The sequence below is a fragment of the Homo sapiens genome, chromosome 18 (assembly GCF_000001405.40).
Source record: "Homo sapiens chromosome 18, GRCh38.p14 Primary Assembly".
Lineage (NCBI taxonomy): Eukaryota > Metazoa > Chordata > Mammalia > Primates > Hominidae > Homo > Homo sapiens.
This window is the reverse complement of record NC_000018.10, coordinates 43,880,499-43,896,620: the sequence shown is the minus strand read 5'-3', so window position 1 is coordinate 43,896,620 and position 16,122 is coordinate 43,880,499. Positions and strand designations below refer to the sequence as shown.

Below are 16,122 nucleotides of genomic sequence, written 5' to 3'. Positions count from 1 at the left end.
CCAGATCTTGATTTCTAAATACCATTATCCACTAAAAGGAGCCAGAACTCCTTTTAAAAATGGCTGATTTCAGAGCTGGAGTAGGAGAAATACTTAAAATATCTTGCAGTCTCAGGAAAAAAAGAAATACTAAAAGTAAACAAATATTTTTAAAAGATGGGGCATGTCAGAGGGACTCTGGAGCCCCCTTGGAGCTTGGTGGGACTTCCACTTGTGAAATATGAGGTAATGCAACCATCAAAATTAATAGTAATATTAAAATAAATATAACCCAAAGAATAAAATAAGAATTCATGAGCCTATGCTGATATAAATAAGTGAATAAAAAAATTAATGGGGAAAAAGGTAAAATTCTTTCCTACAACACAATAATCAAACAATTCATGTAAAAGAAATAATTGAGTTAGAACATTACCATTTGGCAGCCTCCACAGTAAGAAATCGTTTCTGGTAAGGGACTCCAAATTAACTGCTTGTCCAAAAAGAGAAAAATAGTTACTTTTCAGTAAAGAAACCAGGCAGACACCACCTTAACCGAGAAATCAAAATTAACATCACTAGTAATGAAGCAAATAGATTTCTTGTGTCTTTTTGATTTGATAAACTGAGAAGGGCATAACATTACTGCTATGAGATTCCTGCCAAATATTATAAGTTGAACTCATCATGAGAAAACATCGAACAAGCCCAAATTCAGGGAAACTCTGGAAGAAGAAATACAAAATCATACTCTTCAAAGATGCCAAGGTCAAGAAAGACAAAGGAAGTCTAAAGAGCTGCTCCAAATTAAAGGATATTTAGTCATGACAATTAAATGTAATATGTGTTTCTGGAATGGGTTCTGGACCAGAAATATTTTTATTAGTTTAGTTGCCATGTAAAAGACATTAATGGGACAATTGACAAAAACGTACATAAATTTTATAGATTAGGTCATACTTTATCAATGTTAATTTTTTGATTTTCATAATTTTGCCATGGTTAGCTATAGATTATAATTGCTTTTTGAAAATGTACACAGAATGGATTAGGGATAAAAAAATTATATACAATATCTTCTAAAATTATTTAGGAAAAAAACTAACATCTCTCTCTTTTCTCTCTCTTTCTCCTGCCTCTCAGCCTATTATCTATTTATGTGTATGTATAGAGAGAGAGAGAGAGAGAGAGAGAAAAGAAATAATAAAGCAAGAGAGGGCATGGAAAATTTTAACATTAAGAGAATCTGAGTAAATATTATGTGGGAAATCCTTATACTGTTTTTGTAACTTTTGTAAATTTGAACTTATTTCAAAATCTTTGAAACATTTATTTTATTTAAAATAAGGAAAAAAATGTTTCAATATAGTATTGGGCACCTAGAAATTCTGTATGCCATGCCTTTATGTATATGAACTGTAGGGAATTAAGAGACACAGTAGTTGTAATTGTCAATATCCAGTGAAATGTAAGTTAATTGAGATGGGCTTATTATACCCTATGTATCACAAATGACAGATATTATGAATTTATTAAATATGTGTATGCAGTATTTATTATTATCCTCCCACCCCTGACTACCAAAGCCTGACTACCTTTATGATTTTCTTATTTCAAGACTACTACAATCTATTTAAACTGCAAAAATAAGTAGAAATTATGTCAAAGTAGATGCTGCAGAATGGGTTCCCAAGACACAGATTCAGAGACATATTTGCACATATGGAGTTTATATTAGGGAGTGCCACCAAAATCAACACCTATGGGGAAAGAAGTAAGCTAGATTGGGCAGAGGAAACAGATGAATTGTAAGTCACAATAAAGGAGCAGTTGGGATAATGTTCTTAAGCTGAGGTAGCCACTCGGAGTTGTCATGAAGAGAGAAAAGGAGGCTAAATTTTATACCCATGTCAACTAGTCATTGGATGTAGGCTTCCCCCCATGACCTTGGATGAGCTTGTTCTCCTCAACCAGGGCTGTCCTGGAGAAAGACAAGGCCTTGAGAACTCTCAGCTGTCACTAATCCCAGCAGCTGGGGAAATGAGCCCTGAAGCCTTGTGGGTTGGGATTTGGGCTGTGTACATGCATTTATCACATCATTAGCGCTCAAAATATAACACCTGTGACCCTCCCACAACAAGGTGAGGGATAAATGATATATCTCACATGCCTAACATGGCCTGAAAGAGTCAATTAAATATGTGTCTTTTGAATTAATGTGGAAACAGGAATTTGAACTGCCGGTGGGAAGAGCATATTCAAATACTAATTGGCGAGGGGCTGGGAGAGGGGGGACACAGCTGATTGTAGGAAAAGGAAAATATTGAGGAATAGTTGGAGATAAGACATAGGAGAGTTGGTGCCACACTTCGTTTGCCCTTGGGAGCCAAATAACAATAATGCTATAAATGTTAGAAATACTGTCTTATTTCTCAAGTGAAAGTATGGTAGAAGGGCAAGGATATTTGAGGATATTTATTTATAAAAGGAAGCATATGTGGAATGATTGTGGCCTGAAGGACCAGTTAGCAAGGCTGTTAGAAGTAATCTTAACAAAAATTGAGTAAGTACTTGTGCTGGAGACACCAACAGGAGGGTGCAAAGAAAGCAGCGGTGTTGTGATTGGGTATGTGCTGACTACTGAATATCAAAGAGAAATGTACATCAGAGACCACCCAGCCTTCACAGTATGTAGCCTGGAGAATACTGTAGTTGATGGGAAGTAGAAGCAAGAAAATTTAGGTTTGAGGAAGTTCTTTTTTAGATATACTAAGACTGAGGTAAGACAGGATCCATTTGTTAGAACCTCAGGTATGTCAGCACTAAATGAGAAGCCCCAAAGGGGTCTCATCCTGGGATTTGTCACTTCCATCATCAACCTATATGTCCCCCTTCAAGGCTATTCCTACTTTAATTAGATCCCTGCATCTAAGGAAAAAGTGGTCTCTTTTTGCTTCTGTGCCAACATCTGTAGCTGCAACAAAGATCAATTACAATGCCCTTAACAGGACTTCAGTTCCAAGTTTTTACTGAGTCAGGCCGCATGCCTGGCTGATCAAACTGCAACCCTCACAGACTGGATGGCTGCACTTCACTGAAGGGCAAAGTGATTAATGGATGACCTTTACTTTGCCAAGCTTTGACGGACCAGACAAGAAAAAGAACCACTTATGTATTAAATAAATGATAAAGATATCATTTTTTTTCCAGGCATTAGATCCCTAAATAGAAATGCATTAAGCTTGACTGGGATTTCCAAATTATTCTCCTCAGGGGCTGGGAGATTCTAGGAAATAGATATCAGGGTGCCTGGAAAGAGACATTCCAGGGACACATCAGCTGAATGGGTTGAATTTCTGTTCTTAATCAGCATGATTAGTCAGCACACAAAGTTAATAAAGTCAAGGTCAGAGGTTGGATCTTTCTCTGGATCCGTTAATTATTCTCCTTCCCTGAAAGTGGACTCAGAAGCCAAATGACTCACACATTGGGGAGTCTTACAGTAAGAGAGTGTTTGGAGCTTCGGCAGAGCATATCTGTGTCACTATAAAAACAAGAAGATGACACATCTTGTTAATGTGGTCAGAAGTGCTACGATGGTGTATAAGTGTGTGTGATGTGTAAAACATATGGTTTCTAAAAGATTCTATGAATAACTCTATTTTGTCCTGTACATCTGGCAATTACTAAGCATCATCTGTGTACCTACAACATGCAAAGCTTTTTATATACATGCTCTGTGTTAGGTGAATGACCATTTATCTCTGTTACTGGGAATACAGCCTCACCTGCAGTATACACTCAATAGATATTTTCTGAATGTATAACACACAAATTTGGACCATTGCCACTATCTATGTTATAGGTGGGTCAACCAAGCCATGAAGACAATGTGTGTTTTGCCCAGTCACACAGCCGGAAAGCACCAGAACCAAGATTCAGCGAAGATTTTCTGAATCCAAAGTCAGCACATTGCCCAATTGTCTAGTGAAACCAAAATATAATGTAGGAAAAATAATATAATGTGAAAATTCATAATCAGTCCAAGAGGATTTTGAACTTGTAGAAAAGAGATGACAAGAAGTTTTACCTGATTCATAAATGGAAATGAGCTTGAGAAGGAAGAGACTCAGCTGAATACATGAGAGAGAATAATACAATTTCAGAGTTCATAAGAAAAAGAAAAAAGATAATTGCCAATAAAGAATAAAAATATGTAAATTTGCTGATAATAAAGTCATGCAAACTAAAGTAGTGATGAGATTGCTTGCTTCTTAAAATGATTTAACCAATATTCAAGAGAGCTTATTATGTGCCAGCTGTAGAAAAATAAGACATTTATAATTTTTAATTTGGGAGATTATATTGGTAATATTTTATCATTGGGGTGTAAAATGTCAATCACTGTCTAGCCTTGAACTTGTGGACTCAAGCAGTTCTCTCACCTAGGCCTCCCAAAATGTTGGGATTACAGGCGTGGGCCACCATGCTCATCCTTAACATTTTCTAGGAAACAATTTGGTGACATATTTCAGTAGCCATTTAAGTTGTTTATACTCTTATCAAGGAGTCATCCTTACCTTCTTCATAGGACGCTATTCCTAATAAAAAGATCAAAAACTAGAAAAATATTTATACACTAGGATGTTTGTAACAACGTTATTATGACAAAACATAAATATAACCTAGGGTATAGGACAGTTAATTAGCAAATCAAAATATAATTATGTTATTGAGTATAATAAAGCTATTAAAATGCTATTTTGATGCCCATATGTAACTACAAGACAGAATATGCTGATGATATAGTGATACAGAAAAAATCAGTATCCAATGTCTTTGATTTCATAAATTGCACAGTTACATAATTCTGCTATATGCATATATACATTTCATATGCATATAGCATAATTAATTTATTCACACTGCCATATGAAAACACAGGTGGTTTTTTTTCTATTACTTTTTTCTCTGAAAAAGATTTAATTAAAAATTTTAACTGACACATAAAAATTCTACATATTTATGGGTACAATGTGATGTTTCAATATATGCATGTAATGATCAAATCAGTATAATTAGCATATCCATCACCTCAACATTTACCTTTTTTTAGTGAAAACACTCAAAATCCTTTCTTCTAGCTGTTTTGAAACATTTAATACATTATTGTTAACTATAATCACCCTACTGTGCAATAAGGACATCAGCACCTATTCCTCCTAAATAATTATAACTTTGAACCCGTTAATCAGCCTCTTTCCATTCCCTCCTTACTTAATGTTTTTTTTTTTTATTATTATACTTTAAGTTCTAGGGTACATGTGCACAATGTGCAGGTTTGTAACATATGTATACATCTGCCATGTTGGTGTGCTGTACCCATTAACTCGTCATTTACATTAGGTATATCTCCTAATGCTATCCCTCCCCACTCCCCCCACCCCACGACAGGCCCTGGTGTGTGATGTTCCCCATCCTGTGTCCAAGTGTTCTCATTGTTTAATTCCCACCTATGAGTGAGAACACGTGGTGTTTGGTTTTCTGTCCTTGTGATAGTTTGCTCAGAATGACGGTTTCCAGCTTCATTCATGTCCCTACAAAAGACATGAACCCATCATTTTTGTGGCTGCATAGTATTCCATGGTGTATATGTGCCACGTTTTCTTAATCCAGTCTATCATTGATGGACATTTGGGTTGGTTCCAAGTCTTTGCTATTGTGAATAGTGCCACAATAAACATACGTGTGCATGTGTCTTTACAGCAGCATGATTTATAATCCTTTGGGTATATACCCAGTAATGGGATGGCTGGGTCAAATGGTATTTCTAGTTCTAGATCCTTGAGGAATTGCTGCACTGTCTTCCACAATGGTTGAACTAGTTTACAGTCCCACCAACAGTGTAAAAGTGTTCCTGCTTCTCCACATCCTGTCCAATACCTGTTGTTTCCTGACTTTTTAATGATCGCCATTCTAATTGGTGTGAGATGGTATCTCATTGTGGTTTTGATTTGCATTTCTCTGATGGCCAGTGATGATGGGCATTTGTTCATGTGTCTGTTGGCTGCATAAATGTCTTCTTTTGAGAAGTGTCTGTTCATATCCTTCGCCCACTTTTTGATGGGGTTGTTTGATTTTTTTTTCCTGTAAATTTGTTTAAGTTCTTTGTAGATTCTGCATATTAGCCCTGTATCTTACCTAAGGCCTATTACTGCACTGGAAATTAATAAAGATAAATTACTTCAAACTTGGAGGAAGTCAGTATCTCAGTTGTCTGTTGGACATGAAAGCTCTTTCACTCCCATATGTGCTCTTATCCAAGATAGTTCTGGGTAAATAAGGAGAAGTAGGAGGATGAGAGGTTTCATGTCTTTGTAGACATGACCTTCTGACCTTCACTGGTCCGTCCTGTGGAATAACTGGTCTCCTAGAAGGAACCCCATGAGGTCCAACTGCTGTTTTTTGCTTTTCAGGGGAACCTGCTGGTCATGTCATTAATGCCTGTGGTCCCAGCCATTGCTTCAGTTATAAGTTCACCAGCCATGGCAATCACCTTGTTCTTACTTTGGATGGATGCTCATCTATCCCCCTCTCTCTCCAGCTCCTCTATACCTTTTCAAAAGAACGGATCAAACTTCTCGATTCCATAAATATTGTATAAGGCAAAGTCAAAGATGATGGGATCTGATTCAGCTTCATTACCTAAATGCCCACTGCCACCACTTCATATTCCATGCTATGTTAGATGTGCTTTGAGACAAAAATCTTTGCTCTTGTTTAGCTTTCCCATGTAACTCATGATAAGTGTGCTACTTACGCTAATATTCTGTGGTTCCTTCATACCTCTTTAGATGTTTCAAATCCCTCTTTTCCCAATACCTTATTGTTGGCCCTGAGGCAGGGGTGGAGAATGACTAGAATGTTTGTTTTTGGCTTTCTAGTTCTATCTCCTTCTCCCTTCTTCTCATAGACAGTAGACCCAGAAGAGATGATCTGACCGTGACTCCAATTCATATCCTGAGTTCTCCTGGAATATATGGGAAGCATTTGATCTACTTTACCAGGACTAGATCACAAAAAATTAGTACCCAGAGAAATTTGAAAAATCTCTTTCTTTCCTATGAACTATACTTTCTAGAATCCATGGCAAGTCCAAACCAAATGTCAGGTTTTTAAGACAATTTGTTTATGAACCCCAGAAACCAGCATTGAAACTGCTAATTACTTTTTTCATAGCAGACTCAAACTTGTTTTTCCCTAGTACAGTAAAACTCATGGTTCAGCTTTGGAGGTGGATGGCTAAAAGGAAGCGTGAATTAAAGACAAAAATCCCATGATTTTAATACGTTAAAAAATTCAAAACTGTTTCATTATAAACATAGGCATACAAAATAACTAAAAGACATATAAAAATGTTAAGGATGGTTAATTTTGCCGATTAAGATAATAAGCAATTTTTATTTTCATCTTTACAGCTCTGAAGTTTTCAAATAATCTAAAACAAGTATGTGTAATTTTTATAATGATAAAAATAATGCTAAAAGAATCTTTATTGATGCAATCTCTTCTTTAAAATTCCCTTCTCCCTGGGGAAAAAAAGCAGAAAACAAAATCATATTTTACGACGTTTTGGCTACAATATCTAAACTTTTTAGAGCTCTGGGGAAAGAACCCACTGTTTTCCTGAAAAGCAGTCTTTGCATCTATATATTTTTTACTTTTTCATTTGATTGTCAAAGTAAACATTTTTCAAGTAGACACGTCTGACTCAGTGGAGTTCTTCATTACTTTATGTTGGGTCTTGCATTGCACAACATCTGGTTATGCTTTGTTTTGCCAGTAATATTTCATCCAAGACATTTTGTTCCCATTAATTATCATACATAAGAAGACATCTTTGTTTTATTTTTATGGTTCCAATTCTCACATAAGGCAGGCGATGGGGTTTTTGTGGGGTGGGAAATGGAGAGTGAAGAGAGACATATCCCAGTGCAATGGTATGTGAACAGCCACGAGGATGCTGCATCCCTGCAAGCAGATGTTGGGGATAAAACACAGGTCAAATTATGGAACCATTGTGTATGACCCAGTGTTGTTCTGTGCATATTTTATTGATGGGGGACTCTAGCAAGTGGAAGTTGAACTTCTGTGTTTGAAAAAATCATTCAATCTCTGCTTCATTTGATCATTCCATAATAATGTATGAAATATGCATAAGTCACATGCCAAGTGTGATGTAGAATATAGTGACAAAAAAAGACAAACGAAAGACACAGATAAGCAACAAAACAATGCCTGCTCTCAGAGATGTTACAATGAACTGAGAAAGACAAAAGTGTAAGCAACTAACTATACTAAAGAGTAGAAACAAAAAGAGCCCAAGCTTTAAATAATGTTTAATGAAATGATAAATTTTTCTGAGGAACTTGAAAGGCAGCTCAAAAGTGTGAATTGGAGCTTGTTCTTAAAGAATGAAAAGTAGAGAAGAAAGGGGGAAGAAACACAGAAAAAGAATAAGCAGAGAAATTGGGTAGGGTATTCAAAGCTGAACAACTAATGGTTCAAGGGTATCACTATCATTAACACATGCTTTAGTCACCAGGAACTGCTAATTTTACTTCTCAAATCTCTCAATTACATCTGCTTCTCCATTTTTATTTCCATTGCCATCATTGCTTGTCACTGAATTTATTGTAATAACTTCTTCATAAGAATTTATTGTTAGATGGATTTATTGTCTGTTGCTATATTTCAGGCACAGAATTAAGCACCTTTTGCACAGCCTCACTTAATTCTGAGGTATGGTGTATTCTATTATTAGCCCCATTTGATAGAAAAGGATTCTGAGGCTTGAAGACGTTGGTGGAAGAAACAGAACTTGCCTCCAACTAGCATGACTTCTAAGAATGTGTTGTCAAGGGCGTAAGTGACTCACTCACCTTGCTCTACAGCAGGGGGTCCCTTTGTTCCATCCCCAGGCCAAATCCTGCTGCTGCCTGTTATTGTAAATAAAATTTGTTTTAACACATTTACATCCTTATGTTGACATATTGTTTATGGGTGCTTTTGTGTTACAATGACAGAATTGGTGCAGAGTTGAGTGGTTGCAGCAGAAACCATCTGGCCCCCAAAGCTGAAAATTATTTACTATCTGGCCCTTGACAGAAAGAGTTTGTACCCCCGTGAAGCACCCTGATATTTTGTAGTTTTGAAATTATCTAGTATATCTTCTTGTTATTGCAAACAATTGTTCCATTTAAAAGAAAATACTGGTTAAATATTATTAGATGCCAGGTACTGTTCTAGGTGCTAGGACAAAAGCAGAACAAAACAGGTATAGCTGCTTCTTTGTGGAGCTCATATCTTAAAATGCTGAGGAGAAAGAGGAGAAAGAATGAGAAAGATAAGCAAACATGTAAATGCATAGGATACTATTAAATATTAGCAAAAATGCTGTGAAGGGAATGAGTTCAACTGATGGGATGGAATGAGGCTGGTGTGTGTGGGTGATACTTTTCACTTTTATGAATGGTTTGGCTAATCAGGTGTTTCATGAATGGGAACCTGAGACATATGAAGGATCAACTGTGTGTAGATTGAGATTAGAATGTTTCTTGTAGAACTGAAAGTGCAAAAGCTTTGTGTAGAAATAAGCTTGGAATGTTCAAGGAACTTGAAGAAAGCAAGTGAAGTTTACAAGGCAAGAATCGAAGTTAAAAAAAGGGGGCTGGAGACAGAGAAGACTGAACTTTGTTAACCGTCAAGTTGAGATAATATTAAATATTTTAGTGCATTTGGAAAATGTTTGAGAACATTAGTAGAGAAATGGTGTGGTCTGATTTACATATGAGGAGATATAATTATAAAGTAAAGCCAACGGATTTGTTGTTAGACAGTAGAAATATACACCCACACTGTGACCAGCATTGTGCTGTTTACCAATACATGATTCTCTGCTCCTTTTAGGCAAATGAGACATTGTATGTCCTCACCACCTTTCAATTAGACTCAGCCATTTGACTTGCTTTAGGTAAAAAATATAAGAGACTAAATCTGAGTCAAAGTAATTACTGGCACTTTTACAGAATTGCAGTTGAGCAACTCTCCAGCACACTTCTCCCTGCCACCAACAATGGAAGCACATGTCTGTAAGTGGGTGGCATGAGCTCTAACCAGACATTCAAACTGAGCCAACATGTATAGAACAGCTGCCCTGGAGAGTCAGCTAGACCTGCATCGAACTTTGTCAAAAGGGAGAAAAAGCTTTATTTTTATTTTTAATTGATGGTAAACAAACCAAAATATTGGGGTTTCTTGTTCCTGAAACATATATTAGCCTCTCCTGACTAATATGAATGCCTACTATCATTGGTTTTTCTCCACTTGAATTTCAATATCCAACTTAAATCCCACTTGTTATGGAACATCTTCAACAAGCATTTATTGAGTACCTAGCATGTGCCAAGTACTGCATCAGCTGTTATATGACTACAGGAATAAACACTTCATCTCCCCCGCAACCTGGCAGAAACTCAAAAACTAAAAAAGAAAAGCATGCATTATTAATCATAATATAATGTGGTAGGTGTTGTATAAGAAGGAAAAACAGGCCGAGCGTGGTGGCTCACACCTGTAATCCTAGCACTTCGGGAGGCCGAGGCAGGCGGATCACGAGGTCAGGAGTTTGAGACCAGCCTGGCTAACACGGAGAAAAAATAAAAATTAGCTGAGTGTGGTGGCACACGCCTGTAGTCCTAGGTTTTCAGGAAGCTGAGGCAGAAAAATCTCTTGAACCCGGGAGGCGAAGGTTGTGGTGAGCCGAGATAGCACCATTGCACTCCAGCCTGGGCGACAGAGAGTAGAGAGAATCCTTTAAAAAACAAACAAACAAACAAACAAACAAAAAAGGAAAAACAGCATATCATGGCCCATAGAAGAACAATCCAAAAAGAGCTGAGAGCGTGACATTTAAGCAGGACCTTCCTGTCCACACATAGCCCTATTTACATTGCTGCATTTCACATTCCCAATAATCCTGAAAGATACGTAAAGCAAGTATCATTACTCTCATTTTATAGATAAAAACAATGAAGCTTGAAGATTATAAAGAGCTTATCTGTGATGAACTAGTCATAGTTATAAAAAATCAAGCCTTGTCTTTGATTCAAAATTTAGTCTATATTTTGCTTAAAACAACAACAGAGAATAAAGTGACCCTAGATTCCCTAAGTTAACAATAAAAGGCAAGAAACTTTGAAAGCAGAATTCAGTTTTGCAAAACTTTCCATTTAGTAACCTCATTGATTTGGATTGAATCGCTTTGGAATCTCTGACATTTTAATAAAAAGTTTACTTTGGTTAAAATTGTTTTATTAAAAAATAAGACTAATTAGTTGGATAAAGAAGCTCACAGGGGGCATGTTTAAAATAATCATGAGCGCAATCTGTTTTCAAATACTACACAATAATTAGGAAAAATCTATTTACATATGAATGATCAATGATCTCACCATGACCATAGCAACTTAGAGATGAAACAGATTCTTAGATATTATTTAACTTAATTATCTTGCCTGAAAAATTGAGGCAACTGATACTGAAGTTAAAAAAGAAAATATATTAGACAATTCATTGTGAGCCTAGCTATAGCTTCTGTAGGAACAAAAGCAACATTCTTTGCAACCCAATCATAGTCAGTACTAGTGTCTACGTGGGTATTATTGGCTTGGCATCTTCAGACTGGAGATGACTTAGAAACCAGGTAGAGCCATAGGATCAAGACCAGGACATGCAGTTAGGAAAGATACAACCTAGGACACAGATGACTCTAGCCAGCTACATAGTCATCTTCAAGTGAATCCAAAAGAAGAAATTGGAGGCCACAGCAAGTAGTGAGGACACAGATGATAAGCTTGTACAGGTGATAAGAAATCAATAGGTCAATATTCAGATACCAGGCAGCATGAGCAGGAGAAACAAGACCTACATTTCTACTGGTGGTCAGAGTGAACCAGTTTGTGAGGCTTGTTTTGCTTGTCTCCATGAGGTCTTCTATTTACGTAACCTGTCAATGTTCTCCATTTTTGAGCCCTTATAGTATTATATACCTCTCATTAGCCATTTAACACATATACTTTTAAAAATTATTTTACTGAATGTTTTATGCATATATGAATTACTTACAAATTAATTGTTCATTATAGTGTCTTAGAAGAAAATATATTTCACTTAGCTTTTTGAGTAGTTTGTACTCATTGTTATTTGTTTATTGATTCCTTTATATTCAATTTCTTTATTGCTTCTTACCGTTCTCATAATGGATCAGGATGTCTCAGGTAATATTTTGCTGAAGCCACTTCATCACAGCACCTTCTGGATTGAAGCCCTAGTATCCAGGGGGAACAGGTGGGTAATCAGTGATCTTTTCTAGCCTAAGGCTCCAGCTCAAGAGGTTGCTGTTTTCCCCTTTCCCTGTGTGAGCTGTACTCATGTGTAACTTTTGACATCTGGAGGCAAAGACAGAATATTTTCTGGGAAAAAATTCAGACTTCATCAGATTCTATTTTTGTCCTCAGATCAGCAGCTTCTGTGTTTAATTAAGAAGAAAATAAGAGTCATTGCAAATATAAGACAGAGCTGACATATCCTGGTATTATATTAAGAAACATTCATGGAAACTTGCTCAAACATGACAAAACTGCTCCCAGAATGTGAAATAAAACAAGCTCATTCTTCATTTAGAGATATTAATTATTAATTGGTAATACATTAAAGACAAACACACTCCAGTGAAATCTCCGTATTCCAAAATTTTAAAATCAGAGTACAGATCACAAAGTCTTTCTCACATGCACTTCACATGCCTTCAATGCACGCTTATAATTATGCTTTGCACACCTTTTCATTAGAATACAGACATCTAAAAAATCTAGATAGAAGACGTAGATAGTAGTTTACATCACCCTACTTAACTAGGTGTGTGACTTCCGATGTGTTGCTTTACGTCTCTCAGCCTCAACATTTTATTCCAAGAAAAAAGATATTGGGCAAGATGAGCCCTAAAACTCTGCAAGCTGTAATGTTCCACAGTGTAGATGTCAGAGTAACACCTTGAAATAGGAATTTTCTCCCTTTTCCTCCATGAAATATATGATTATATACAACAAGCACCCTGTTCTGGTAGTCTTATTCCTCTCCTTCCCACCATCCAAGCTCAACCTCTTTCTGAAAAGTTACTGACTTGATACATGAAAGAAATAAGCAAAGCCATTTATCCTGAAAATATCCAGCTGGTGTGAGATTTTGGTCTACAGTACATACTAATTAAATAGAGAAGCATTTGAGATTTTATATAAAAAAAAACCTTAATTTACTAATTAAATGACAAGTACTCTTCTCAAATTGTCCCTTTGGCTTACTGTGCATTTCAAGAATTAATTAACAATGCAATCAGGCTACAGTTGTGAAATGCCAATATGGATGTGATTTGAACATGCAGCTTCTGTTTTCCATGCTGACTTCCTGTTGTTGTTGTTGTTGTGTTTCAATGCAAGCTGCACCCTAATGAAGACATTGGGTCTTTCAATTTGTCTGTGTAAAATTAAAATGAGTTTGTGGCATCTTGCAAGCTCTGCACACAACTCAATGACACATTTAACGGTGCATTGCCTAGCCCCTGACATAGGCATGTGTCTTGATTAGATTTCTCTAATCGTTTACTAGAAATGAGGAACATAAAGTCAGTTTGGGTTTGATGATGTCCATATGTTGAACACTTTTGAACTCGGTGATAATAATGCCTCTTGGGTGTGGAATCAGCGCAACCGATAGACTGAGTTCAAAGTAGGTTAATGCCCTGAGGTAATGAGGAAAGGAAAAACAGTAACGTGCTTTCTCTTTTTTTCTGCCTTGAAATTTGAGGTGGCCAAAAGAGCTGTGTTAAAAAGTAGAATATGAATGTTGTTATACTTGGATTTGGTAACTTGGTTTTTCTTCATTCTTCCACATGCTGTCCTGCTGTCACCTCACCACTCACCCTGCCTGAAAAAAACACATAACAGTTTGCACATACCACAGCCCTGGCCTCAGCTGTGACTGGAAGAGAGTGAAGTGCTGCCAGTGGGCCCCGCAGAGGACAGGGAGGTGGGAGGAGTTAGCAGTGAGAAGAGGAAGGCTGATGGCAAGGTGGTCCTATTGGGTATACTCTTGTCCTGCAAGGAAGTTCAAGTACCAAAAAGTGAATCTCTAAGTTCTGGAAGAGCCTTGGGCAAGAGTTAAGGTCTCTCTCTCTCTTTTATCAAAATTTGCTTTGAGAGTCATTTTGAAAGTAGCCATATTTTCCTCACTATAATTCTTAGCCTGTGAGTTACTTTTCCACATTTTTGTACTTTGAGCTGTCTATTTAATATATGGCACATGGCTTTTTCCCTCCTTAAAAAGGAATCTTAGACTTCAGGTCAGTTGGTCATGGTTACCCCTTCAGAGAAGGAGTAGAAAACATTCCTCCTGGAATCTCATCAATTATTTTCCATGGGGCCATTGGAGAAAGTTGAACACTGGGGTGATGTAGTACTTTCAACATAAGTGTTTTTTATTTCATTGCAAAAACCAGGCTTTAATCACACAGTGATATGCATCATTCCTTCCAGACATCAGGCATCTAGTTTCCGTGATAGCTCTAGACACCATTACCTTGACAGCAATACCTTGAATTTCTGGTCATTGAAAGAAATAGATAATCAGTGAACTAACTGTCTTTCCAAAAACAATAGTGATTAACCTTCCATAACTTCATGAACAGGAGTGAACTAAATAGTGAAGTCCACAGAATGTTAAATTTTACTATCTTATTTCTACTTTTCCTAGTGTTTTTCAAAATAACACCTTATTTATCTTGCTTGTTTTGGTGATTTTTCTGAATAATTTCATTTTATCTTGGTACTTGGAAAACAAATCTGTGAGGAAGGCATAGCATATATTTCGGTAACTGTCCCCCATTATCATGTCCTGTTTTGCATTTATTTATTCATCCATCTTTCAAAAACATTTATTATAAACAGGATAATAACAACCATAATAGGTACAATTTCTGAGTAGCTAAATTGTTGCACTGTATTTGAAATTAGAAACACAAAGATGAATGATTCACAGTTTCTGTCCTTAAGAAATTTGAAGTCTAATGGAAAAGACACCTGCATAAACAATAGTACTAAAATGTGTTTAATAAAAGAGAAATAACTGAGAAATATGGGAACACAGAGCAGAGGCATTTAACCCAGCCCCAGGATCTGGCAAGTTTTTCTGGAGTTTGGGGACTCCATTTAGTAACTTCCGCAGTGCCAAATTCAAGGTTTTAATATTTGAGATGACACAGTGATTAAAAGCTGACCTTGTTCTCATGGACCATGCAGATGATTTACAGAAATATACTAGTAATCAAGCAATTAAACCCCAGTTCTAAGGTGGCATACATGTAGCCCATTATAGAATACATCAAACCCAACTTTAAAGTGGAAGATCAAGGATGCCTACCAAAGAAGGCACCAAACTCAGGCCTGAAGAATCAGTAGGGCTCTAGGTTGAGTTGGAAGAGTGAACAGAATAACAGAAGGGAAGTTCATTGCAGTCTCAGTAAGCAAGTGCCATGAAAGAATATGGCATTTTCAGGGAACTGCAAAGTCCTATTAGAATTCTTCACAGCTGAAATCTGAAATGTAAGGCAATCCATAGGCTGAACTGGTAAACTGCTATAGCAGTTGGGCAGACTACAAAATAATTTGTACATTAGTTCAAGATGCTTAGACTGTATCCTGAGGATAAAGACAGCTATAGAAAGGTTTTTAAGAGACGTGTACCACAATCATTATGTTTTAGATTACTCTCACCTATTGTGGCAAAACTTGAGCTAGAATCTAGGCCCCAGGTTTTCCCCAAGATTATGCTTTGAACTCACTATCCCAACTTTCTTTGTCAGTGGTGCGCTCTTCGTGCCACCTTCACAGAAGGGCTTCTTTGGGGAAAATGTACGATTATGAAGGTTTTTCTCTCCAGCTTTGATTATTATTTTTCTTGTACATCTAAAACAGAATATCTCACTCCATTTTAGAACTTGTGTTCAGATAATTCCTCTGTGACAGTTAT

General features: G+C 36.7%; 2 long non-coding RNA genes across 2 annotated transcripts in view, besides 1 other annotated feature; one reads left to right on the top strand and one right to left on the bottom strand.

Annotated features, from left to right (window-relative positions):
- LOC105372088 (uncharacterized) overlaps positions 1-16,122 on the top strand; it is a 122,698-nt gene that overhangs the window by 36,764 nt on the left and 69,812 nt on the right. The gene's annotated exons all lie outside the window — the stretch shown is intronic.
- LOC105372087 (uncharacterized) lies at positions 7,421-12,419 on the bottom strand. Its single transcript, XR_935414.3, has 3 exons — positions 12,289-12,419; positions 8,922-8,978; positions 7,421-8,010 (listed from the first exon to the last, which is right to left on the bottom strand). It is a non-coding gene; the product is annotated as an uncharacterized LOC105372087 (long non-coding RNA).
- Positions 8,763-9,057: a silencer, noted in NCBI's record as "tiled region #9153; HepG2 Repressive non-DNase unmatched - State 24:Quies". NCBI's record gives its function as "represses a minimal TATA promoter and a strong SV40 promoter by Sharpr-MPRA in HepG2 cells {active_cell/tissue: HepG2}" and the evidence as "EXISTENCE:reporter gene assay evidence [ECO:0000049][PMID:27701403]".